Raw genomic sequence first — 24,641 nt, 5'->3', positions numbered from 1 at the left:
CCCCTCTTCCAGGAAGCTCTCCCTGATCCTGAAGCTGAGCCAGGCGCCCCCTTTGAATTCCTCCATCCCAGCCCTGCCCACTCTGGGTTGTCACTGTCTGGGGACAGTTCTGTCTCCCCCACTGGACTGTGAGCCTCTGTGAGAACAGGGTTGGGGCTGTCTTAGTCAGAGCTGTGTCCCCAGTACCACCAGGAGCAGGGGTCAGCATAGGAGAGAATTCAGGACTGGGCGCGACGGCTCACGTCTGTAATCCCAGCACTTCGGGAGGCTGAGGCGGGCGGATTGCTTGAGCTCATGAGTTGAAGACCAGCCTGGGCTACGTGGTGAAATTCCGTCTCTACTAAAAATACAAAAATTAGCTGGGTGTGGAGGCGCACGCCTGTAGTTGCAGCTACTAGGCAGGCTGAGGCAGGAGAATTACTTGAGCCTGGGAGGTGGAGGTTGCAGGGAGGGGAAATCATGCCACTGCACTCCAGCCTGGGCAACAGAGCAAGACTCCATCTCAAAAAAAAAAAAAAGGAAGAGAATTCAGGAAGTATTTGTTAAATTAATGGATGGATACATGGATTAATGATAGTTCCCTCAGCTGGTCGGTTCTGTTAAATCTTCTGGGTCTAGGTCTATACACTGTCAAAGACCACCAGCTTGTCTTGTCATAGAGATTTTTTTTTAAGTAACTTTTATATATGGAACCTTTACTATGTTCTCGAAGTTTCAGCTCAGATGTCCACTCCTCCAGGAGGCCCTCCCTGCCCCTTCTCCCAAGACCACGTCAGGCTCCTCCTGGAGGTCCCCCAGTCCTGCTCAGTCTGAGATTCCTGCCGGTCTGACTCCAGAGCTTTTGTTTATGACCAGGATCTATATCACAAGCATGATTCCGGCTCATTTAATATTTATTGGCTGCTTATAATGAACTTGGCACTGGGACTGGTTATTAAGCTCTCGGGGACAAGGAGCTGGTCATTGTTGTTTTTTATTATCATTGCTATTGACTATCGTAATCGCAGTTCCCGGTCTCCAGGGTTCCTGGACTTCCCGCTCTTTGTGCTGGGCAGGGAAGGAAAGTGAGCCCTGGGGGTAGAGGGCAGAGGTGGGGTCAAAGTTACTTTCCTGCCACCACCCCTGTCTGTCCTGGGAGCTGCAGTTACTGCAGTGTGTGTGTGAGTTTGTAGCAGGGTGGGAGAGGAGAGAAGGGAGGTGGAGGGGCTGCACCTGGAGTGAGGACTGTATCTGTGTGTGCAAGCCGGGGCGACAGACGGCCTGGCACACTGAAGTCAGGTGCCGGGACCCATGGGGCCTGCTGACTCATGGGGACACCACTGGATGGGAATCCTGCTTTCAGGTGAGTGCCCTGCTTCCTTCAGATGCGGGAGGAGGGAGGTTGTATGCATCTATTTGTCAGCGGTGTGTGTGTGTGTGTGTGTGTGTGTGTGTGTGTGTGTGTGCACTCGAGGAAAAAGAGATGGAGGCAGAGAAAAAAAATAGAGACACAGAGACAGAGACAGAAATAAAGACAGATACAGATATAAAGATAGGGCCAGGCGTGGTGGCTCACATCTGTAATCCCAGCACTTTGGGAGGCCGAGGTGGGTGGATCACTTGAGGCCAGGAGTTTGAGACCAGCCTGGCCAGCATGGCAAACCCCCGTCTCTACTAAAAATACAAAAATTAGCTGGGTGTGGTGGTACACTCCTATAGTCCCAGCTATTTGGGAGGCTGAGGTAGGAGAATCACTTGAACCTTGAACTCGGAGGTGGAAGCTGCAGTGAGCTGAGATGACACCATAGCACTCTAGTTTGAGTGACACAGCAAGACCCTGTCTCAAAAAAAAAAAAAAAAAAAAGAAAGAAAGAGAGAAATACAGAAATAAACATAGATACAAAAGAGATAGAAGGAGACATAAACAGAGACCAGAGACAGAGAGACAAAGATATATGTATATTTGTCAGTGGTGTGTGTGTGTGTGTGTATACTTGAGGAAAGAGTGACAGAGGCAGAGAGAGAAACAGACACAGAGAGACAGAGACAGAAAAAAATACAGATGCAAGAGACTGACAGAAGGAGACATAAACAGAGACCAGAGACAAGAGAGAAAGACAAAGATGTGTGTTTGTGTGTCTGTGTACACAGAGAAAGAGAGAGAGACAGAGAAAGATGGAGTCACAGCCACAGAACCAGAGACCCAGGGAGAAAGAGAGAGAAATACAGGGAGAAGAGATACGCACAGAGACAGAGACAAAGGGTGAAAAAATAACCTTAGAAATGATACCAGTGGGGCCCAGGCACAGTGGCTCACGCCTGTAATCCCAGCACTTTGGGGGGCCAAGGCGGGTGGATCACGCAGTCAGGAGTTCAAGACCAGCCTAGCCAAGATGGTGAAACCGTCTCTACTAAAAATACGAAAATTAGCTGAGTGTGGTGGCGGGCACCTGTAATCCCAGCTACTCGGGAGGCTGAGGCAGATAATTGCTTGAACCTGGGAGGCAGAAGTTGCAGTGAACCGAGATTGTGCCATTACACTCCAGCCTGTGTGACAGAGTAAGACTCTGTCAAAAAAAAGAAAAAGAAGAAAGAAAGAGGGAAAGGGAGAGAGAGAAAGAAAGGAAAGAAAGAAAGGAAAGAAAGAAAGGAAAGAAAGAAAAGAAAGAAAGAAAAGAAAGAAAGAGATACCAGTGGGAAAAACAGGAAGGGGCAGAAAGAGAGGGAGACAGAGGACAAAGAGACAGGGAAAGAACTGGGTAAATACACAGCCAGAAATAGATTCAGAAACGCGGGGAGAGAGTTGGAGTATCACAGAGATTCAGACAAGCAGATGAGAGACAGGTGGAGGGAGGCTGTGCCAGCCCTGAGCGGCCAGGTCCACGGATCAGGATGGGGATGGATGTGAAATTTCTGCCTAGAAGGCATCTGAGACAAAAGGCAGAAACTAGAATATTTTGATGAAAAAAGTATTTTGGAAGTGAAGACATGATTTTGCAACAGGTCATGTGCAGAGGTGAGGGCTCAGCCCAGCCTTGCTGTGTGTCCCTGAGACCAGCTTCTCCTTCTCTGGGCCGGCGCTTCCTGGCTAACCCTGGAAGGGTGCAGGGGCTCTGTAGTCCTGGGAGGCTGAGAGTTATCAGCCGCATCCACAGTGAGTCTGTAAGTGTTGCCTCTTCCTGGTAGGACAACGGCAGGACCCTGTGAGAAGAAAGCCAGAGGGAAGGGGCCATGGCAGGCTTTCCACAGAGAGGCTTCCTGTCTCGGGTGGGTATGATGAGGCCCCATCAGTGCTTTTGCTTACATCATTTCACTTATCCTTATGACAGTTAAGTGAGGCTGGAACTGTTACTACCGCCATTTTTCAAATGGGGAAACTGAGGCTCAGATAGGGAACATCACTTGACCAAATAAATGGCAAAGATGAGATTCAAACCCAGGTGGTCAGGCTCTGAGGCTGTGAGCCTAACCTCTAATAGCATTTGAGGCAGAGAAACCACAGACACAAGAACTCATCATCAAGACCACCACCATCATCATCATCGTTGCCATCATGGTGGCTGAATATTTGCTATGAACTGTGTTAAGCATGCCACATTTGATATCTCACTCAGCCTTCACAACCACCAGATGAGCTGAGTTCTACTATTATCTCCATTTTTCAGTGGAAGAAACTGAGGCTCACAAAGAGAAAGTCCCTTACCCATGATAGTAGGGCTAGTAAGTGACAGAGTTCATATTTGTTCCTAAGAGCTCGTGCCCTTATTCACTCACTGGGCAGGGAATGGGGCAGTGTTTGGGCCACATTGGGGCCCTTTTGAGAAGTGCAGAGGGTCTGTGTTAATTGAGCTCATGGGAGAGATGAGATCAGTTGCGTGTGAGCACAGCTGCTGGGGTTGGGCCCCAGCAAAGTCTCGTGTTTTTTTTTTGTTTGTTTGTTTGTTTTTGAGACAAGGTCTAGCTCTGTCACCCAGGCTGGAGTGCAGTGGCACAATCTCGGCTCACGACAACCTCTTCCTCCTGGGTTCAAGAGATTCTTGTGCCTCAGCCTCCCAAGTAGCTGAGGTTACAGGTGCACATCACCATACCTGGCTAATTTTTGTATTTTTTTGTAGAGACGGGGTTTCACCATGTTGACCAGGTCTCGAACTCTTGTCCTCAAGTGATCCACCCACCTCCGCCTTCCAAAGAGCTGGGATTACAAGCATGAGCCACCGCGCCAGGTCCCATAGTCTCTTGCAGCCCCCGTAGTGGTGTGCAGAATGATCAAATGGAAAACTGGGAACTCATTTTTTTGTGTGTTTCTATTTTTTTTTTTAAGACAGGATTTTGCCGTCACCCAGGCTGGAGTGCAGTGGTGCAATCATAGCTCACTGCAGCCTCAAACTCCCAGGCTCAAGTGATCCTCCCATTTCAGACTGTAGCTGGGACTACAGATGCGGGCCAACACCCCCAGCTAATTTTAAAAATTTTTGGTAGAGACAGAGCTTCACTATGTTGCCCAGGCTGGTCTCAAATTCCTTAGCTCAAGTGATCCTCCCACTTCAGCCTCCCAAAGTCCTGAGATTACAGGCATGAGCCACCACACCCCGTTGAAAACTGGAAACCTGCTATCTTGTTCTCCTTTCCTCCCCATGCAAGTGAGATCTTGCCTGGGGCACATCAGAGGAAGTACCAAAAGTTAATATTTTTCACCAAGATCACAGTAGAAGTACCTGTTAATCAAGGGTTGGCTGTGTGGCCATCTCTGGGCTGACAGGAGGAATTACAGTGTTGAGAGCACAGTCTTCAGGGCCTGGCAGGCCAGGTTCAAGTTTAGCTTCTGCCATTGACAATACCATCTTGGTGAGTGACATCACCTCTCTGAGCATCGGTTTTTTCTCTATGTGGAATACAGGGACCATCACGTGTCTCCAGTAGAGGGCACATCATTGGAGAGAACACAGTGACTATCAGGGGACCCAGTCAAAGTTTGCCAATATTCATTGCCACCCCCACAACAACCCTAGGAAGCAGGTGATAGTATGCCCATTTTACAGTTGAGGAGATTGAGGCTCAGAGAGGACAAAAACATGCTGCAGCTGGCACAGGGGCTCATGCCTGTAATTCCAGCACTTTGGGAGGCCGAGGCGGGCAGGTCATTTGAGGTCAGGAGTTTGAGACCAGCCTGGCCAACATGGCGAAACCCCGTCTCTACTAAAAATACAAAAATTAGCCGGGCATGGTGGCCTGTGCCTCTAATCCTGGCTACTTGGGAGGCTGAGGCTGGAGAATCCCTTGAACCTGGGAGGCAGTGATTGCAGTGAGCTGAGATTGCGCCACTGCATGCCAGCCTGGGTGACAGAGCCAGACTCTGCCTCAAAAAACAAAAACAAAAACACATACACAAACAAAAACCAAACAAACAAGAAAACATGCTGCAGGTCACATAGCTGTAAGTAACGAGTAGGACTCAGGTCTCTGTGGGTGGAATGCCAGTCCTATGGCCTCAGAGCTCCCTGTGCTTCTGAAGACCTTAGCCGGGCAACCCCCAACACACCTCTCCCTCCCTGAATGCCTCCTCTCTCCCCTTGTAGCCTCGCTTTGTACCGTATGGAGTCCTCCAGCTGCAGCCCAGCTCACCCTCAATGCCAACCCACTTGATGCCACCCAAAGTGAGGATGTTGTTCTGCCTGTGTTTGGGACCCCCAGGACACCCCAGATTCATGGCAGATCCAGAGGTAGGGGCCAGAAAACAAGACGGTCATTCTGATCTCTGCCTCCATGGAGATCCCTCATCCGAACCTCACGCCCAAAGTCCCCAGAGGACGAATCTGATTGGCTCAGCCAGGGTCCAGCAACAACTGGTTCAGTCAGCTGTGCCAGGGGTCAGGGGTAAAGAGGGAGGGCTGTGGCTGTCATGGCTGGGGTGGGCAAAGTTGGCTAAAAAGTGGGTAGGGGGGCTGGGTGCAGTTCCTTACACCTGCCATTCCAGCACTTTGGGAGGTTGAGGTGGGTGGATTACTTGAGCCCAGGAGTTTGAGACCCACCTGGGCAACATAGGGGGACCCCATGTGTACAAAAAAAACACAAAATCCTCCAGGTTTGGTGGTGCACGCCTGTAGTCCCAGCTATTTGGGAAGCTGAGGTGGGAGGATCGCTTGAGCCCATGAGGTCAAGGTTGCAGTGAGCCGTGATTGAACCACTGCACTCCAGCCTGGGTGACAGAATGAAACCCTGTTTCAATAAAGAAAAAGAGTGGGTAGGGGGCCCTTGCTGGCACCCATGTCGTAAGCTTGATTGTCATTGCAGCTGACATTGATTGACTCCTTGTCAGGTCCCAGACCCTCTGCCTCACTTGCACAATCACTTTCAATGGGGCTTGGAGAGGGGAAGTAACTTGCCGAAGATGACACCAAGAATGAGCAGTAGATCCAGCATTCAAGCCCAGGCATCCAACTCCAGAGAGTCTTCTGGCAATTCCAATCTAGTCCTGTTTCTCTGGGTCCCTCTGTGACTATGTCTTGTTTGTTCTTCCTCTACCTGTGTCTCTGCCTCTGTCTCCCTCGCTTGCTTTCAGAGCTGGCCAAACCCTCCATTGCAGTCAGCCCAGGCACTGCCATAGAGCAGAAGGACATGGTGACCTTCTACTGCACCACTAAGGACGTCAACATTACCATCCACTGGGTTTCCAACAACCTCTCCATTGTGTTCCATGAGCGCATGCAGCTGTCCAAGGATGGCAAGATCCTCACCATTCTCATTGTCCAGCGGGAGGACTCAGGGACTTACCAATGTGAAGCTCGAGATGCCCTTCTGAGCCAGAGGAGCGACCCCATCTTCCTGGATGTGAAGTGTGAGTCCCTTTCCATTCTCTCCAACCCCTCACTGACACTCACTTGCTTAGTGCCTCGTTCAGTCTCACAGCTTGAAATACCATCCAGATGCGGACTTGTCTACCTTTGAACTTCAGACATATAACTGTTTGACATCTCTACTTGGATTCTACTGGAAACCTCCAACTTAATGTGAAGCAAACGAGGTACAGCAGTCAGATGGAGATGAAATGTCAGCTTCATCCCTGGGTAAAGTAAGATTGAAAGACATGCCTAAAGTATGCCAGCTGAATGGTTATTGTAGCTCACACCTGTAATCCCAGCATTTTGGGAGGCTGAGGCAAGAGGATTGCTTGGAGCAAGGAGTTTAAAACCAGTCAGGGCAACATACCAAGATCCCATCTCTACAAAAAATTTAAAAATTAGCCCGGTGCAATGGCTCATGCCTGTATGCCTTAATGTGAAGCTCAACTAAAATTGAGCTCCCAAACCTCAGACGTTTGATCCAAAACCTTGCCTGGATAGGGGTGAGCAAAGAGCATTAGCTGGCTCACTTTATTCATTCATTCATTCATTCATTCATTCATTCATTCATTTGAGACAAGATTTCTCTCTGCTGTCCAGGCTGGAGTGCAGTGGTGCAATCATAGCTCAATGCAGCCTCGACCTCCTGGGCTCAAGCGATCCTCCTGCCTCAGCCTCCCGAGTAGCTGGGACTACAGGCATGAGCCATTGCACCGGGCTAATTTTTAAATTTTTTGTAGAGATGGGATCTTGGTATGTTGCCCTGACTGGTTTTAAACTCCTTGCTCCAAGCAATTCTCTTGCCTCAGCCTCCCAAAATGCTGGGATTACAGGTGTGAGCTACAATAACCATTCAGCTGGCATACTTTAGACGTGTCTTTCAATCTTGCTTTACCCAGGGATGAGGCTGACATTTCATCTCCATCTGACTGCTGTACCTCGTTTGCAATTGATCTAGCCTTTGAGTGGGGAGGAGGGAAATAAAGTATTTATTGATCCGTTAAAGACCTCCATAAGAGACCTGTTGCTGATGCTGTTGTTACTGCTGTAATTGTTCCTGTCCTCTCAGATGGTCCTGATCCTGTTGAAATCAAATTGGAGTCTGGTGTTGCCAGTGGGGAGGTGGTTGAGGTGATGGAGGGCTCCAGCATGACCTTCTTAGCGGAAACAAAGTCTCACCCACCCTGTGCCTATACTTGGTTTCTCCTTGACTCCATTCTGTCTCACACCACGAGAACATTCACCATCCATGCTGTGTCCAGAGAACATGAGGGCCTGTACAGGTGCTTGGTGTCCAACAGTGCCACCCACCTGTCCAGCCTGGGTACTCTGAAGGTCCGAGTACTTGGTGAGTCTCCTTTCCCGGTTCCTCTCCTTCATTCTTCTGAGCGTCAGATGCTGGCCATGTCAGAAGGAACCAGGAGTTCTTAATCCAGGGCCTTTGGATACTGTGTGAGGGAGAAATCCCTGCATGACATTGAGTTGCATGAAAAATGTTTGCGCTGTGTTCTAGAGGAAGGATCTAGGATTGTCATCAGATTTTTGAAGGGATCTTGAACTCTGAAAAAAAACCTTAAGAGGCCGGGTGCAGTGGCTCACGCCTGTAATCCCAGCACTTTGGGAGGCCGAGGTGGGCAGATCACGAGGTTAGGAGATTGAGAACACTCTGGCTACCATGGTGAAACCCTGTCTCTACTAAAAATACAAAAAATTAGCCAGGTGTGGTGGTGGGCGCCTGTAGTCCCAGCTACTCAGGAGGCTGAGGCAGGAGAATGGCATGAACCTGGGAGGCGGAGCTTGCAGGAGCTGAGATCACGCCACTGCACTCCAGCCTGGGCGACAGAGCAAGACTCTGTCTAAAAAAAAAAAAAATCTTAAGAGCCAGTGAGCTACACCAATACCCCAGAGTTTGAGGAGGACCCAGGGGGATTTCCAATGCAGCAGGGCTCCGACTACAGGGAAGGCTGGGCACACTGGCTCCTTTGCCTGGCTTGGCACATCCTGCACGAGACCCTGGTGGCTCTCTAGGGGTTGCCCATGATTTGACTCTCTGGAGGTGGGGGGTTTAACTGTCTACATTTAAAAACACTAACACAACATTCACACACTCCGTACACACACAGATAATATCCCCACATGAACAGCACACTCACGTGCATGTACAATACACACAGTAAACACAACTCATATATAATACGTACACAACTGTGCAATACCACAGACATACAACACACACTCACACAAAACATACAAACATATAGCATGCACACAACAGAGGTGTACAACTCACTCATCACAAAGTACGTAACACATCAGACATACAACACATACACACAAACCCACAACACATACAAACCCATAGCACATACACACAAACCCACAGCACATACACATATACACACAGCATATACATACAAACCCACAACACATATACACAAACTCACAACACACACACAAAATGCTCACACATACAACACATGTACAACACACATGACATACAAAACGCAGACATACATATCTCACATACATCTACACAACAAACAAGATCACATATACATGACACACTCACATAAAATATATATACACCTAATATGCACTAATGGACACACACAACACATATCATTGACATTCAGCACCTACTAAACATTACAACCATTAAACATCACAGACACTCAAGATGGACAACATGGAAAACACACCATATACCATACAGTCAACACCCTCAACACATATATACAACAGACACACAATGCACACACAAAATGCACACACATACCACATGCAGCACATACAGCATATGCACACATCACACAACACAAACACATAACACAAACAATACCACAGACACAGAACACACATTCATATACAACAAATATATACACATAGCATATACTCACATACAAAGTGCATATGTGTACCACACACATACTTCATATTCAACACATACACCCAACACACACAAGAGACGCAAAACACTTACACACCACACACTCTCCATACACACAAAACTCATTGCATATTCACATAATAATCACACGACACACATTCATCCACAAAAGACATACACGTACCCCGCACACCAGCATTATGCAAATCATATACACCACCTGTAACACACACACACACACACACACACGCACGCACTCCTGGAAAAACTTGTGGGCCCCACAAGGGCAGGAGATGAGGGAAATCTCCCTGAACCTGACTGTGTATCTCCACGTGTTTCCAGAAACACTGACCATGCCTCAAGTCGTGCCTTCAAGCCTGAACCTTGTGGAGAATGCTAGGTCTGTGGACCTGACCTGCCAAACCGTCAATCAGAGTGTGAATGTCCAGTGGTTCCTAAGTGGCCAGCCCCTCCTGCCCAGTGAGCACCTGCAGCTGTCAGCTGACAACAGGACCCTAATCATCCATGGCCTCCAGCGGAATGACACCGGGCCCTATGCCTGTGAGGTCTGGAACTGGGGCAGCCGGGCCCGGAGTGAGCCCCTTGAGCTGACCATCAACTGTGAGTCACCCAGGGCCTGGACCTTCCCCATCTCCCTGCTTCCCTCCTTCTCTTTAAGTTCTTCCTTCTAGTCATTCATGCTATGATTATTGAGCTCCTGCTCTGTGTCAGGCATGAATCTGGGCACTGGACAGGGCCAAGTGCCTGCCCTCAGGGGGCTTATGTTCTAGTGGAGAAGCCAGACCATAAACAGAGAAGCAGGTGATAAGGCTTAGGGACACCACCAGATTTAGGCTTTCACAGGGTCTCACTGGCCTTTGTCTACAGGGAGGCAAACATAGAAGTGGGGGAGAGGGGGAGTGAGAGAAGGAGTTGTATTTGTCCAGATCCTTGGAGAAGCAGACCCCAAGGTGGGATTAACGGGATTATTCATGCAAGGGTTTTATTAGGGGAAATGCTCCTGTGAGGATAACTAGGGAGGCAGCTGCAGGGAGGCTGGGAGAGCCATCAGACTGAGAGACTGAGATGCAAGTGTGACCCCGAGTGACAGGGTGAGGGACAGAGACTTGAATGGAAGCACCTGGATAACCATGCACTTGAAGGAACACCCATCATGGCTGTTGGGACCTTCCATATCTCCCAGGAAGGGGCCTGCCTTAGTTTCCTGGATGCACTCAGGTACTGGCAGGGTGCAGCCTGTGGAAGGGCTGGGAGTAGATTTGGGGGCACAGCAATTGGGCCCTTGGTCAATTACATTTCTGCCGTTGGAGGTCTTTGAAGAGCTTCTCCTGGTGGCCAGAGTTGCGCAGCAAGAGATGATAGGGCTGGACCAGAATGGCAACTGTCGGGTGTTGAGAAATGGTTGCACTGTGGATGTATTTTGAATATGCTGCTGACTGATATTAGGTGAAAGAGAAAGAAAGGAGTCAAGAATGACTGTAAGGTTTATTGCCTGAGCCACCGAAAGGATGTAGGAGTCACGAACCAAGATGGAGAAGATTGGGGGAGAAGAGGTTTCTGCAGGGAGAGAAAGGAGGGGTGCACTTTCATACATGCGAAGCAGTAGGGAACACAGAGGTAGGGGTTGAGTACATGTCTTTGCTCCTCTTTACACTTCTCTGTTGCTCACTCCTCTTTCCTTTTCAATTCAGTCATTAAACCAAAAATATATGTTTTGTGCTCTCTCTGTGCTAAGCAACATGTTGGGCATTTGATACTTGACATGATTTTCAGCTTTCACAGCCTGCTGGGGATGGGGAGGTCACTAAGCAGGCAGATAAAACATAGCATGATAAATGGGACCCCGGGGGACAAAGGGAGGGTATGGGGAGCCCAAAGGAAGCCTCCATCTGGGGGATGTTGCAAAGGGTCATCATGAATGGGGATGTCCACCATAAGAGCTGAAGGATGAGTAGGAGTAGGCTGCTTAGAGCAGAGTCAGGGAAGAGCATTCTAGACAGAGGGAAGAGAGTGTGCGATGGCCTTGAGGCAAGAGAGAGTGTAACAAGGATGGAATCTCCGAGTGGGATTTAATTCCTGAATGAGAGCAAGAGGTGTGGAAAGGTGGGGCTGGAGGGGGTCTGTAAGAATCAAATTGTAAATGGCCTCTTCAGACATAGGCTTTGTCCCAAGGGCACTGGGGAGCCACAGAGGGTTCTGAACACAGGAGGGACAGTGACACTTTAGTACTTAGGAAGACTTCTCTGGCTGCTGTGTGGAGGATGAGACTGGGATGGGGAGACCAGGAGGAGCTGGGATGCAGGTGAAGGATCCAAGTGTCAATGGGGTCAGGATGGGGAGAAATGAGCAGGTTCAAATGATGTTTAGGAGGGAGCAGAGTCAGGGTATTCCTCCCCTCCTAGAATGTCTCAATTAGCAACCTTTTGCATCCTTTCCAGTATTTTACATTAATTTAAATAAAGTATGACTCTTAAACTCTTTTAGGTTTTTTTTTTTAAATAGAGACAGGGTCTTACTATGTTGCGTAGGCTGGTCTTGAATCCCTGAACTCAAGTGATCTCCCTGCCTCAGCCTCCCAAAGTGCTGGGATTACAGGCATGAGCCTCAGCCCCAGGCCTAAACTCTTTTAATTTATATGAGAAATCCAACAACTACTTTCATTTGTTTCCTTCTTATATGTGGTGGAAGAGAAAAGTGACAATGATCCCCTCTGACATTACAAAGAAAATTTGCACGTGTTTATACCATTGAGAATACACAGTACTAGAAGTTAGGGATTATATACACAGGACGCAGCCACAATTTCCCTCCTTTCCTTCCTTCCTTCCTTCCTTCCTTTCTCTCTCTCTCTCTCTCCTTCCTTCCTTCCTTCTTGCCTGCCTGCCTGCCTGCCTGCCTGCTTTCTTCCTTCCTTCCTTCCTTCCTTCCTTCCTTCCTTCCTTCCTTCCTTCCTTCCTTCCTTCCTTCCTTTCTTTCTTTCTTTCTTTCTTTCCTCTTTCCTTTTGAGTCTCACTCTATCACCTAGGACGGAGTGCAGTGGCACAATCTTGCCTCACTGCAACTTCGGCCTCCCAGGTTCAAGTGATTCTTAGCCACTCGAGTAGCTGCAATTACAGGCATGTGCTACCACATCCAGCTAGTTTTTATTTTTATTTTTCAGTAGAGACGTGATTCGCCACACTGGTCAGGCTGGTTTTGAACTCCTGGTCTCAGGAGTTCCACTCACATCCACCTACCTCGGCTTCCCAGAGTGCTAAGATTACAGGTGTGAGCCACTGCGCTTGGCCTAGCAACAATTTCTGATGCCTGGGTGACCTAAAACACTTCTTTGAATTAACTTTTACAAAGGCAGTTTTTTTTCTTTTTTTTTTTTTTTTGAGATGGAATCTTGCTCTGTCGCCCAGGCTGGAGTGCAGTGGCATGAGCTTGGCTCACTGCAACCTCCACCACCCATGTTCAAGCAATTCTGTAGCCTCAGCCTCCCGAGTAGCTGGGACTACAGGTGCGTGCCACTACGCCCGGCTAATTTTTTGTATTTTTAGTAGATACGGGGTTTCACCATGTTAGCCAGAATGGTCTCGATCTCCTGACCTCGTGATCTGCCTGCCTCGGCCTTCCAAAGTGCTGGGATTAATTACAGGCATGAGCCACCATGCCTGGCCCTTGTTTTTGTTTTGATCTGCCCCACCCCCAGTGTTGTGGACCACACTCTGCTTGTCAGAGAGCTAAGGAGGAAAAGGGAGTATGTTCTGTTTATTTTACTGAAATTCCAAGGTGAAAGTGAATGGGGCAGAATGGGATGACTCGCTGATGGGGGCCAGGGTGCATCACGTTTGGCTTTACACACAGATGGTCCTGACCAAGTGCACATCACCAGGGAGTCGGCATCTGAGATGATCAGCACCATAGAGGCAGAGCTCAACTCCAGCCTGACCCTGCAGTGTTGGGCCGAGTCCAAGCCAGGTGCTGAGTATCGCTGGACTCTTGAACACTCCACCGGGGAGCACCTGGGTGAGCAGCTGATTATCAGGGCTCTGACCTGGGAACACGACGGGATCTACAACTGCACAGCCTCCAACTCTCTCACTGGCCTGGCCCGCTCCACTTCAGTCCTGGTCAAGGTGGTAGGTGAGTCTCTCAGGGTCGCCTTCTCCCAGGACCCGAGGGGCCTTTCCTGATGCTGGTCCCAGCTACCTAGTCTACCCCTACCGAGGGCTGGAGTGTGGCAGTCTCCACACTGCCTGAGCAGGTTCTCAGTCCACAGCTGTTGAATCCCAACCCCTAGTGGTCAGGGAAATGTAGAACCTGTACTTCCTGCTGTGTTCCCTGGAAAACTCTCCAAGCTGTTCTGAGCTTCAGTTTGTTTGCCTGTAAATTGGGTTTGTGATGTGTATTAGTCCATTTTCATGCTGCTGATAAAGACATGCTGAAGACTGGGTAATTTATAAAGAAAAAGAGGTTTAATGGACTCACAGTTCCACGTGGCCAGGGAGGTGTCACAATCATGGTGGAAGGCGAAAGGCATGTCTTACATGGTGGCAGACAAGAGAGAATGAGAACCAAGCAAAAGGGGAAACCCTTTATAAAACCATCAGATCTCGTGAGACTTATTCACTACCATGAGAACAGTATGGGGGAAACCACCCCCATGATTCAATTATCTCCCACCAGGTCCCTCCCACAACACTTGGGAATTATGGGAGCTACAATTCAAGATGAGATTTGGGTGGGGACACAGCCAAATCATATCGTGATGCCTATCTTTCAGAGTTGCTTAGAAGGACAATGAGTCAGAGATATACCCAGTGAGGGAAGGAGTGAGCTATATGGGGAATCGGAAATGATGTTAATAACAACTGGACATGACTGGCAGGGAGTCCCTGTATCTCTGTCTTTAGTTCTTGAGAAGGTAACAGTGTCACTGTTCACTGGGATTCACATCCTTCTCCAATGCTTGTTAGCTGTGTGACCTTGGACAAGTTACTTACCCTCTCTGGGCCTCTGATTTATTATCTGTAAAACATAATAATTCTGCCTATTTCTTAGGGTTGTTGAAGGTTGTGAACATTTGTAAAGTTCTTAGGGCAGTGCTTGGCATATTGTGTTTGTTAAACAAATAAAATTATTCCTTTTTTTGTGTGTGTGGCATGATCATGGGTCACTGAAGCCTCAACCTCCCACACTCAAGCTATCCTCCTACCTCAGCATCCTGAGAAGCTGGGACTACAGGTGTGCACCACCACAGCTAGCTAGTTTTTTATTTATATTTTTTTGTAGAGACGGGGCCTCCCTATGTTGCATAGGCTGGTCTCAAACTCCTGGGCTCAAGTGATCGTCCCGCTTCAGCCTCCCAACGTGCTGAGATTACAGACTTGAGCCACGAAGCTCAGCCTAAAATTATTATTTATTGAGCCTGTGCCACATGTCTGAATCCAACTTTCCCATATATAATATCAGCAAACACTTCTTGGGTACTCTCTGTCAGCCAGTTTTGAGGTGAGCCTGTTGGTTTCTTCATTGTACAGGAAGGGAAACTGAGACCTATAGACTCAAATCCTGTCATTGGGGTTTGAAACCAGGCTGGCCTCCTCAAGTTGTTCACTAAGCCTAGGACACCATTTATATCAACTTCCAAATTACCTCATTTAATCTTCAGAACAATCTTGTGGTCTTATTAAGACCATTTGATGGATGGAGCAACAGGCTCAGGGAAGGCAGCAGGGAGTTCAGTTGATGCTCACGGGGATATTGTAGGATTTGAATAAGATCATGTATGAAGGTCTCTTGGTGCTTAGAGCTTGCTAGATAGCAGCTTCTATCATCATCATCATCATCATCATCATCATCATCATCATTTGTCAAGCATCTGGTATGTATCAGGCACTGTGCTAGTAGTTTTATACAAGATCTCATTAATCCCTTCAAAAGTCTATAGAGGCCGGGCACTGTGGCTCAAGTCTGTAATCCCAGCACTTTGGGAGGTTGAGGCAGGTGGATCACATATGGTCAGGAGTTGAAGACCAGCCGGGGCAACATGGTGAAACCCAATCTCTACTAAAAATACAAAAATTAGCCAGGCGTGGTGGTGGGTACCTGTAATCACACTACTCGGGAGGCTGAGACAGGAGAATCACTTGGGAGGCAGCGAGGTTGCAGTGGTTGCAGAGGAGGGAGAGGTTGCAGTGAGCCAAGATCGTGCCACTGCACTCCAGCCTGGCCTTAAATTTTAAAATTTAAAAATTTAAAAAAAATTTTAAAAAGTCTATAGAGTTTGGAATTCTTATCCTTGCTTGGCATATAAAGAAATGGAGATGCGGCCAGGCATGGTGGCTCATGCCTGTAATCTGAGCAGTTTGGGAGGTCGAGGAGGGTGGATCACCTGAGGTCAGGAGTTTGAGACCAGCCTGGCCAACATGGCGAAACCCCATCTCTACTAAAAATACACACACACACACAAATTAGCCAGGCATGGCAGTGCACACCTGTAATTCCAGCTACTTGGGAGGGTGAAGCAGAAGAATTGCTTGAACCAGGGAGGTGGAGGTTGCAGTGAGCTGAGATCACACTATTGCACTCCAGCCTGGGCAACAGAGTGAGACTCCATCTCAAAAAAAAAAAAAGTGGAGATGCAGAAATGAACCTAAGAATCCCTGAAGCACCCCAGGAAGTTCCCTCCTGCCCCTCCAAAGCAGAGCTCCTTCCTCACCCTCCTGATCCTTGTAGCTGTGTTCTTAACTCAGTGGCTCGATTCCACCCTTTTGAGAGAGGTTCAGGCAGAAGTGAGATGGGCAATCGGCAGGCCAATATTGATGAAAACAATTGCCATTTATTAATCACCTAGTATGTGCCAGGTGTTAACATTCATGATTTCATCTCATCTTTGCAAACATCCTGTGCTATTTACAGATGAAGAAATGAGACTCAGAAATGAATTCACTTGTCCAGGGTCACATGGCCGCAGTGAGTCAAGGGGCTCTAAGTGAAAGCCGGGTTTCTGGTTGCCAAAGCTCTTTTCTCTGGTCTGTGCCTCTATTCTGGGAGGAAAGAAACACAAAGCCATATTTGATCCATTATCCTAACTGACATTGTCATCATGGCCAACATTTACTGATCACTTTCCATGGTTCCAAACAAACACTATATATATAGAAAATGAATACATGTATGTTTAATCTTTCTAGAAGCCCTATAAACCCTATTGTTCCCATTTTACAAAAGAGACAACTGAAGCCTAGAGAGGTTAAGTAGCATGCCCAAAGTCACACTGCTGAAATTTGGACGCAGAAACTGGATGTTTTAGTTTAGAAATGATGCTGTTAATACCACAGACTGAGGTCAGGTGCAGTGGCTTACACCTATAATCCCAGCACTTTGGGAGGCTGAGGTGGGCGGATCACTTGAGGTCAGGAGGTCCAGACCAGCCTGGCCAACATGGTGAAACACCCCCTCTCTACCAAAGAATACAAAAAATCAGCCTGCATGGTGGCAGGTACTTGTAGTCCCAGCTACTAGGGGAGGCTGAGGTGGGAGGATCACTTGAACCTGGAGGTTGCAGTGAGCTGAGGTCACGCCACTCCACTCCAGTCTGGGTGACAGAGCAAGACCCTGTCTGAAAAAAAAAAAAAAAAAAGCAAAACCAAAAACCACAATCTGATACCTCCCAACGACTGGAAAACAAGTGCTCACAAAATGTCAGTAGAGAAAAAGCTGCAAGCTTGGGAACGGGCTGGGAGCAGGGATGAGGGTGTGTCAAGCCTGGGTCTTGATTCTGTCTCCTTGCCCAGGTCCCCAGTCCTCCTCCCTGTCCTCAGGGGCCATCGCTGGTATTGTCATCGGGATCCTGGCTGTCATTGCTGTGGCCTCAGAACTGGGCTATTTTCTCTGCATCAGAAATGCCAGACGGTAACACAGGGATACAGGGAGGGGGATGGGGATGGGGATGTGGCCAGCAGGGGGCGCTTGCCGGGCGTGTTGCTGACCATGGTGCTGAGTCTTGTCTGGCACCTGGGGAATTCAGAGGGTTGTGGGCATTGTTCAAGAATGGACATGGGATATGGGCAGAACCTGTGGAGATGGGCAAGGACTAGAGGCACAGAATAATGAGGGCTTTGGGGTTTCAGGCCCTCAAGGAAAACAACAGAGGACCCCAGTCATGAGACCTCACAACCCATCCCGAAGGAGGAGCACCCCACAGAGCCCAGTTCCGGTAAGTGACTCTATGGTGGCTGATGCCTGGGGCAGGGGTGAGGGCTGGGGAAGAGGCTGGTGCTGGGGGCTCCCAGCTTTGCCACCAGGTCACTGTATGATCAGGGCAAGCCCTGTCCACTCTGAGCCTCTGTGTTCCCATCTGGAATTTGGATGAGATTGGAGTCAAGCCCTCTGATGGGTTCTGCCTGTTCCAACAGTCCCGGCAAAAGCAGGACAACAGGCTGGAATTCTCTCCTTTCTCAATCTCAGAAGACTTTTTTAACTGATTGTTGTAGACAGAATGAATCAACCACAACACTCCTTCCTGCTGAATCCAAATCCAGCCTCATAACATATCTCAGTAGAGTGCCTCGAGTGCCCTCTACTGATGGGTTAGAGTTAACCAAAGACAAAATGAAACGTATTTGCCATCTCTGGGTCTGGGATTCTGGAAGGATAGGCCTTTTGATATGGAAGGCTTTCTAGAAACTGTCCAATCCAGCCCCATTTTATAGAGACGAAAACCAAGGCCATTAGGGATAAAGGGCTAAATCCAGGCTACAGAGGACCCAGTGTCAAAACTGGGCTAGAATTTAGATTTCTCCCCTCATCTGTGTCACCAAACAGCCTTACCTAACCCAGACCTTGATTGCCAGGACATTCCTGGTCAAGCTCACTGGAAATATGACAGGGAGTCCTGGGAAGGATTTCTGCACTTCCTTCCTGGGGTCAGGGGTCCTGGAAAAACAGCCCCTTGCCCCATATCTCTTTCGAACTCCAGCTCCTGACTGAGATTCACTTTTTCTAGAAAGCCTGAGTCCTGAGTATCGCAATATATCCCAGCTTCAGGGACGGATCAGAGTCGAACTGGTGAGTGATGCTGCAGAGGGAACCCTCCTTGATCCCCTGACCAGGCTGCTATAGTCTTACTTCTTAGGGTGGGGGCTGGCATGATCTTTTGAGAAAACCCAGTGCCAGGTTAAGTCTCTCTGCATCTCCTCCTCTGACTTCTCTGAGGATCTCAAGACCCTCCCGGGTTTTTTCATCTCTTCTCCTCGTCTTCTTATTCTTTGACATGACAATTCCTAGCTTTGAGCCCTCTGGGAATCAGAAGTGCTATAATTGCCTCTGAGGCCAAAGCTATTTCTGAGCATCTCTTGGGGTAGCCCCTATTCCAAGCCCTATGACCTCTCTGCAACTTTGTTTTTCCCCAGATGCAACCACCAGACCTTCCAGAGGAGACCTATGAGGTACATTGGCCCTGCTGGGTTTGGTTAAAGAATCTATGAAGGAAAGACAATCTGAAAATTTTATATGTGATAAGCCTGAGAGATCATCTTGTCTAAACATTTCATGGCACATCACAGGGCCAGGGATGGGAAGAGAGTAGCCTAAGGCCTCACAGAGAGCTGGGTCAGATGCCATGACCCTGGATCCTCTTTCGTTCCTTCCACCTCCAGGGCTTGGAATTGGATTGCCAATGAGGTGGTACTGGACCAGCACATGCTGGGGTGAAAAGGAGGCTGGGAGTAGAGGTTGCAGATCCAGCAGGAAAAAGGAGAGTTCTGGGCCAGGGCAAGGGCCTGGGTTCTAACCCTGCTTCCACCTCTGATTCTCTGCAAGAACCTGAACAGATTCCTTCCACTCTCTCGGTCCCTGAAGAGTGTAAGTTGGTACATTCCTGGCAATCTGTGTCTGTGGGCCCTGCCTAATTTCTCTGCTTACTTGCAGACGAAGCTGCCTTCAGCAAGCCGTAGAGGCAATTCTTTCAGCCCCTGGAAGCCACCACCCAAACCTCTGATGCCCCCACTCAGATTGGTCTCCACTGTGCCAAAAAACATGGAGTCAATCTATGAGGTATGTTTATGCCACACTGAGTCTTTGGACAGGTGGAAATCTGTCACCAATCTGCTTTTTCTTCCCTACTAAAGAGTCTGTAGGATGAACTATGAAGAAAAATTTCCCTTTAAAAATCTTCTCAATTCCATCCTATCCATTTCCATCATGTCATTTTCTAGTTGGTTTTACTTCATTCCTTTCCAACGCACTCCATTTTATTGCATTCCATGTTTCACTCCACCCAATTCCTTTCTATCCATTTAGCTTTATTCATTTTCTGTATTTCTATATCACTTCACTCTGCCATTTTCTTTCCATCCCATTGGGTTTTATTTCCTTCCACTCTATTTCCCCCCATCCCAGCTCTTCCCATTCACTCTACTGTATTCCATGCCTTTTATTTTCTTTCTTCTCTTTCTTTCTTCCTTCCTTCCTTTTTCTTTCTTTCTTTCTTTCTTTCTTTCTTTCTTTCTTTCTTTCTTTCTTTCTTTCTTTCTTTCCTTCCTTCCTTCCTTTCATCTTTCTTTTTTTTTTTGAGACAGGGTCTTGCTCCATCACCCAGACTGGAGTGCAGTGACTCAATCTCTGATGACTGCAACCTCTGCCTCCCAGGTTCAAGGGATTCTCCCACTTCAGCTTCCCGAGTAGCTAGGACTGCAGGCACGAGCCATCACACCCAGCTAATTTTTGTATTTTTTGGTAGAGACGGGATTTCACCATGTTGGCCAGGCTGGTCTTGAATTCCTGACCTCAATTGATCTGCCCGCCTTGGCCTCCCAAAGTGCTGAGATTACAGGAATGAGCCACCCTGCCTGGCTCATTCCATGCCTTTTCATTCCATTCCACTCAGCTTTGTTTGATCCCTTTACACTCCTTTCCATCTCTTTCTTATTTCATTCCTTTTCATTCTTTTCCTTTCTTTCTATTGCATTTTATCCATTTTTATTTTTTCTTTTAATTCCTTTCAATTCATTTATTTTACATTCCATTACACTCTGTTTTATTCCAGCCCACTCAATTCCCATCCCACGACTTTATTTCGTTTCCATTCTTATTCTTCCCATCCCATTTCAGTCTTCTTATTTCCATCCATATATTTAATCCATTTCATCCGTTCTATTTCCTACCTCTCCATTCCTTCCTAGGCAATGTCCCTATTTACATTCATTTCCATTTGATTGGTTTTCACTTCATTCCACTACATTCCAGTTCTTATTCTTTATATTTCTTTTCCATTCAATTTTTCTTTTTTCCCATTCCCTTCTTTCTTTTCCATTCACTTTCTCTTCTCCATACCCTTCCCTTTCATTCAATTCTATTTCACTGTTTTCCATTCCTCTCCCTCTGTTCTCTTCAATTCCTTTCCCTTTTCATTTCTTTCCAATCCACCCCACTCTATTCTATTCCATTCCATTCTACTGCATGTTTTCTCACTTCATCCTCTCCCTTCATGCCCTTTATGGCACTTCATTCCCTTGTCTTTATTACTTTCCTTTTCAAGCTTTCCATTTAATTTCTTCTTTTCAAGTCATTCCATTCCACTCCTTTTCATTTCATTTAAGTTCTTTCCATTTCTTTCCAGTCCTTTGCATTTCCTACTCTTTATACCATTGATTTCAGTTTCATTTCATTTCATTATTTTATATTCCATGGCATTCCATTTCCCCCCTTTTCTGTTTTTTTTTTAATTTCGTTGCTTTATTTTTATTCTTTAATGTTATACTTTCCTTCTACTATATTACTTTTCTCTAATTTCCTCTCCACTTCTCTCCCCTCATTACCTTATTTTATTACTCTCTTTTCTGCTCCATTTTATTTTACTTTATTTCTTTCTTTCTGTTACAATTTTCCTTTTCATTTAATTTCTTTCATTTGCACTTCTTTGGACATCATGCCATTTTATTTCACTCCATTCTCTGCCTTTAATTTTTATTGTATTCCTTTCTGTCCTATTCAATTTCCCTCCATTTCATTTATGCCTTTGCCATCTCTTTCAGTTACATTCCTAAATAGTCTATTCCTTTTCATTCATTTCCTTTCCTTTCCAATCTTTCATTTCATTCATGATATTTACTTCCCCACATTTTTCTCATGGGAGATTTGAAGCAGTTTTTCCCATGGAAGATTTGAAGCAGTTTATATACAACACTACAAAATGGTGTTAAATTAGAAATAGAAATTACAATCAGAAAAAATATTTTTAACAATAGCAAGAAGTCAATATATGGGTAAAAAGTAAAAATATATACTGGGCCTACGTGATATCTGCCACTATATCTCTTATGTGTCTCTAAGCTTCCTGGTAACAATAAAACAGAGAGGTATGATTAGTTACATCATTCAAAAAGAAGAAAACTGGGCCAGGCGCGGTGGCTCACGCCTGTAATCCCAGCACTTTGGGAGGTGGAGGCGAGCAGATCACTTGAGGTCAGGAGTTAGAGACCAGCCTGGCCATCATGGTGAAACGCTGTCTCTACTGAAAATACAAAAATTAGCTGGGCATGGTGGCAGGCACCTGTAATCCCAGCTACTTGGGAGGCTGAGGCAGAAGAATCACTTGAACCTGGGAGGCGGAGGTTGCAGTGAGCTGAGGTCGAGCTACTGCACTCCAGCCTGGGCAACAGAACAAGACCTTGTCTCAGAAAGAAAAAAATAAAAAAGAAGAAAACTATTAGTTCATCCAGGCATAAGCAAAATTCCAGTAACAAGTTTAGAGCAGTCAAGTGATGGCTCCATAGTTCTAAGGACTAGTAGAATTATTTTAGAGAATGCAAGTGATCTCAACCCTGTCATCAGGACAGCCAGATTACTCCAATTCCAAGAATGGACTTCAGATTCTATATTCTGAACAAGCCAGTGACCAGTCAGAATTTATCCAGAGGAGGAATAAGAGAGAGGCCAGAACAGGGGCTCAAATCCATGTCCTACTGACAGGGTTTTCTTGGGTTTGGAAAAGAGAAAGTTTAGGGACAGAGAACTCCAATATTTTAGTGTCTGACAGGCTTCAAGTAGAGGGATAAATGTGTTCCTTGTTGTTCCAGAGGGCACATAAATTACCATGGAGGATAGGTAAAAGAAGGGTAGATTTTAGCCTAACAGACAGATAACTATTCTTGAAAAATGTGAATATCCTATACACCTTTTTAGTTTTTTGAGACAACGTATTGCTCTTTCACCCAGGTTGTGTGCAGTAGTGCGATCATGGCCAACTGCAGCCTCAGATTCCTGGGCTCAAGCGATCATCCCACCTTGGCCTCCCAGAGTATTGGGATTACAGACGCAAGCCACTGCACCTGGCTGAATGTTTCATATATTAATATCTTAGTCAAGAATTTTTAATGTTAAGAAAGTTAAACCCTTTGAATGTAGTTCGAATGGGGATTAATTGAGAGAACACTGAGAAATATCAGATAACTCAATTTCAGAAATTACTCCTGGGCCTCTTGGCGACTTGAATGCTATCAAGAAGCTGTTTCTCTCTTATTATACAGTTTCTCATTTTCACTAATCTATGAATTCATCTCATTCTTCTCAATCCAGATTGAATTTCTATGTAAATGTCCTGGTCATTGCTTCTCTATAACTTCAGAGTATATATAACAACATCTTCTGCTGCCCTTTAAGCATTTCTAGGTTCAAATTCTCCATAGAAGAATCAGATTGATTCAGGCCATGGTATGGATCATGTTTAGTTTTGTCAGCTCTCTAATCAGCTTTGAACTGGTAAAAACTTAGCCACCTAAGTCCCTCTCTTCACCAGTGTCTGCGTAGGGGAGCCATGTTTGTTTCCTATTATTAGTCGGGCAAAAGGTCTTCCCAGAAATACCACCTAGTAAGCTTCCTCTTATATCTCATTAGCCAGAATAAGGTCATATGGTGCTCCTTGTAGCAACAGAGGCTGAGAAAGTGGTACATTAACATTCCCAGCCTCTTCAATAGAAGCAAGCAAGGGAGGTGGTGTGGGGAAGAAGGTTAGGTCAGTCAACTCAGTGAACTCAGTGTCTGCTACATTCTGGAGGGATTAGAAGGAGCAAACCATGCAAACAGTATGAAAGGAAACATTCCAACTTGAGAGGCATCAGTAAAAAAGGCCCTGAAGAGGGTGTAGAGTTATCAGTTGCTGTATAATGAATTACCACAGACTTTGCAGCTTAAAACAACATGAATTCATTATCTCACAGTTTCTGTGGGTCAGGAGTTCAGGCATTGCTTAGTTAGCTCTTCTGCAAGGCTGTATAATCAAGGTGCCAGTCAAAGCCCAGGTCTCATCTGAGGCTCAGCTGGGGATGGATCCACTTCCAAGCTCATGTGGTCATTAGCAGCATTCAGTTCCTTGCAGGCTGTCATAATGAGGGCCTCAGTTTCTTACTGTCAGCTGGAGGTCATCCTCAGTTCTTTGCCATGTGGCCCTCTCCACAGGCAGCTCACAACATTGCATCTTGCTTCTTCAAGCCAAGACAGAAGTCATAATCTTATGTAACAGAATCACATACATGCAATCATGTATATCCTGCCACCTTTGCCATATTCTATTGGTTAGATGCAAGTCACAGGTCTTGCCCTCAAGGGGAGGAGATTACATAAAGGAATGAATACCAGGAGGCAGGGATTATGGGGACCACTTTAGAGTCTGTTTACCACAGTGGGGAAGTACATGGGCCATTCCAGGAACAGAGATGTGCCAGGGTTACTAAAGTGTGATGAGAATGGAGGAAGATTTTTGGAATTTCCAAAGAAAGGAAAGCTCCAGGCTGTTTGGGCCCCAGACTACAGTGAGTAGACTGGGAGGGTCCACCTAGCAAATGGAGCTCACATTTTCTCTTTGTTTAACAGGAGCTTGTGAATCCAGAGCCCAACACTTACATCCAAATCAACCCCTCCGTCTAATG

General features: G+C 46.8%; 1 protein-coding gene across 8 annotated transcripts; it reads left to right on the top strand.

Annotated features, from left to right (window-relative positions):
- The first annotated feature begins 1,124 nt into the window (after nt 1-1,124).
- Nucleotides 1,125-24,641, top strand: CEACAM20 (CEA cell adhesion molecule 20). Of its 8 annotated transcripts, XM_011526429.3 has the most exons (13): nt 1,125-1,342; nt 3,166-3,246; nt 5,556-5,699; nt 6,539-6,814; nt 7,888-8,166; nt 10,048-10,326; nt 13,576-13,854; nt 17,511-17,628; nt 17,847-17,932; nt 18,722-18,783; nt 19,128-19,163; nt 19,645-19,770; nt 24,586-24,641. In XM_011526429.3, exons 1-13 carry the CDS (start codon nt 1,291-1,293, stop codon nt 24,637-24,639), a joined length of 1,872 nt encoding a protein of 623 aa, XP_011524731.1. In that variant the 5' UTR covers nt 1,125-1,290; the 3' UTR covers nt 24,640-24,641. The 8 variants fall into 8 exon arrangements, with proteins under 8 accessions (XP_011524731.1, NP_001096067.2, XP_011524732.1 ...); NM_001102597.3 differs by lacking the exon at nt 3,166-3,246; XM_011526430.3 differs by lacking the exon at nt 19,128-19,163.

Source organism: Homo sapiens, chromosome 19 (genome assembly GCF_000001405.40).
Source record: "Homo sapiens chromosome 19, GRCh38.p14 Primary Assembly".
Classification (NCBI taxonomy): Eukaryota; Metazoa; Chordata; class Mammalia; order Primates; family Hominidae; genus Homo; species Homo sapiens.
The sequence above is the reverse complement of the archived record's forward strand: the minus strand, read 5'-3'. Positions and strand labels throughout refer to the sequence as shown.

Bases quoted from the DNA above. Each gene is read 5' to 3' on its own strand.
- CEACAM20 (XM_011526429.3), top strand. From the start codon at position 1,291: ATGGGGCCTGCTGACTCATGGGGACACCACTGGATGGGAATCCTGCTT. The intron at 6,815-7,887 runs GTGAGTCCCTTT...CTGTCCTCTCAG, and splicing joins CATCTTCCTGGATGTGAAGT to ATGGTCCTGATCCTGTTGAA. The intron at 19,771-24,585 runs GTATGTTTATGC...TTTGTTTAACAG, and splicing joins ACATGGAGTCAATCTATGAG to GAGCTTGTGAATCCAGAGCC.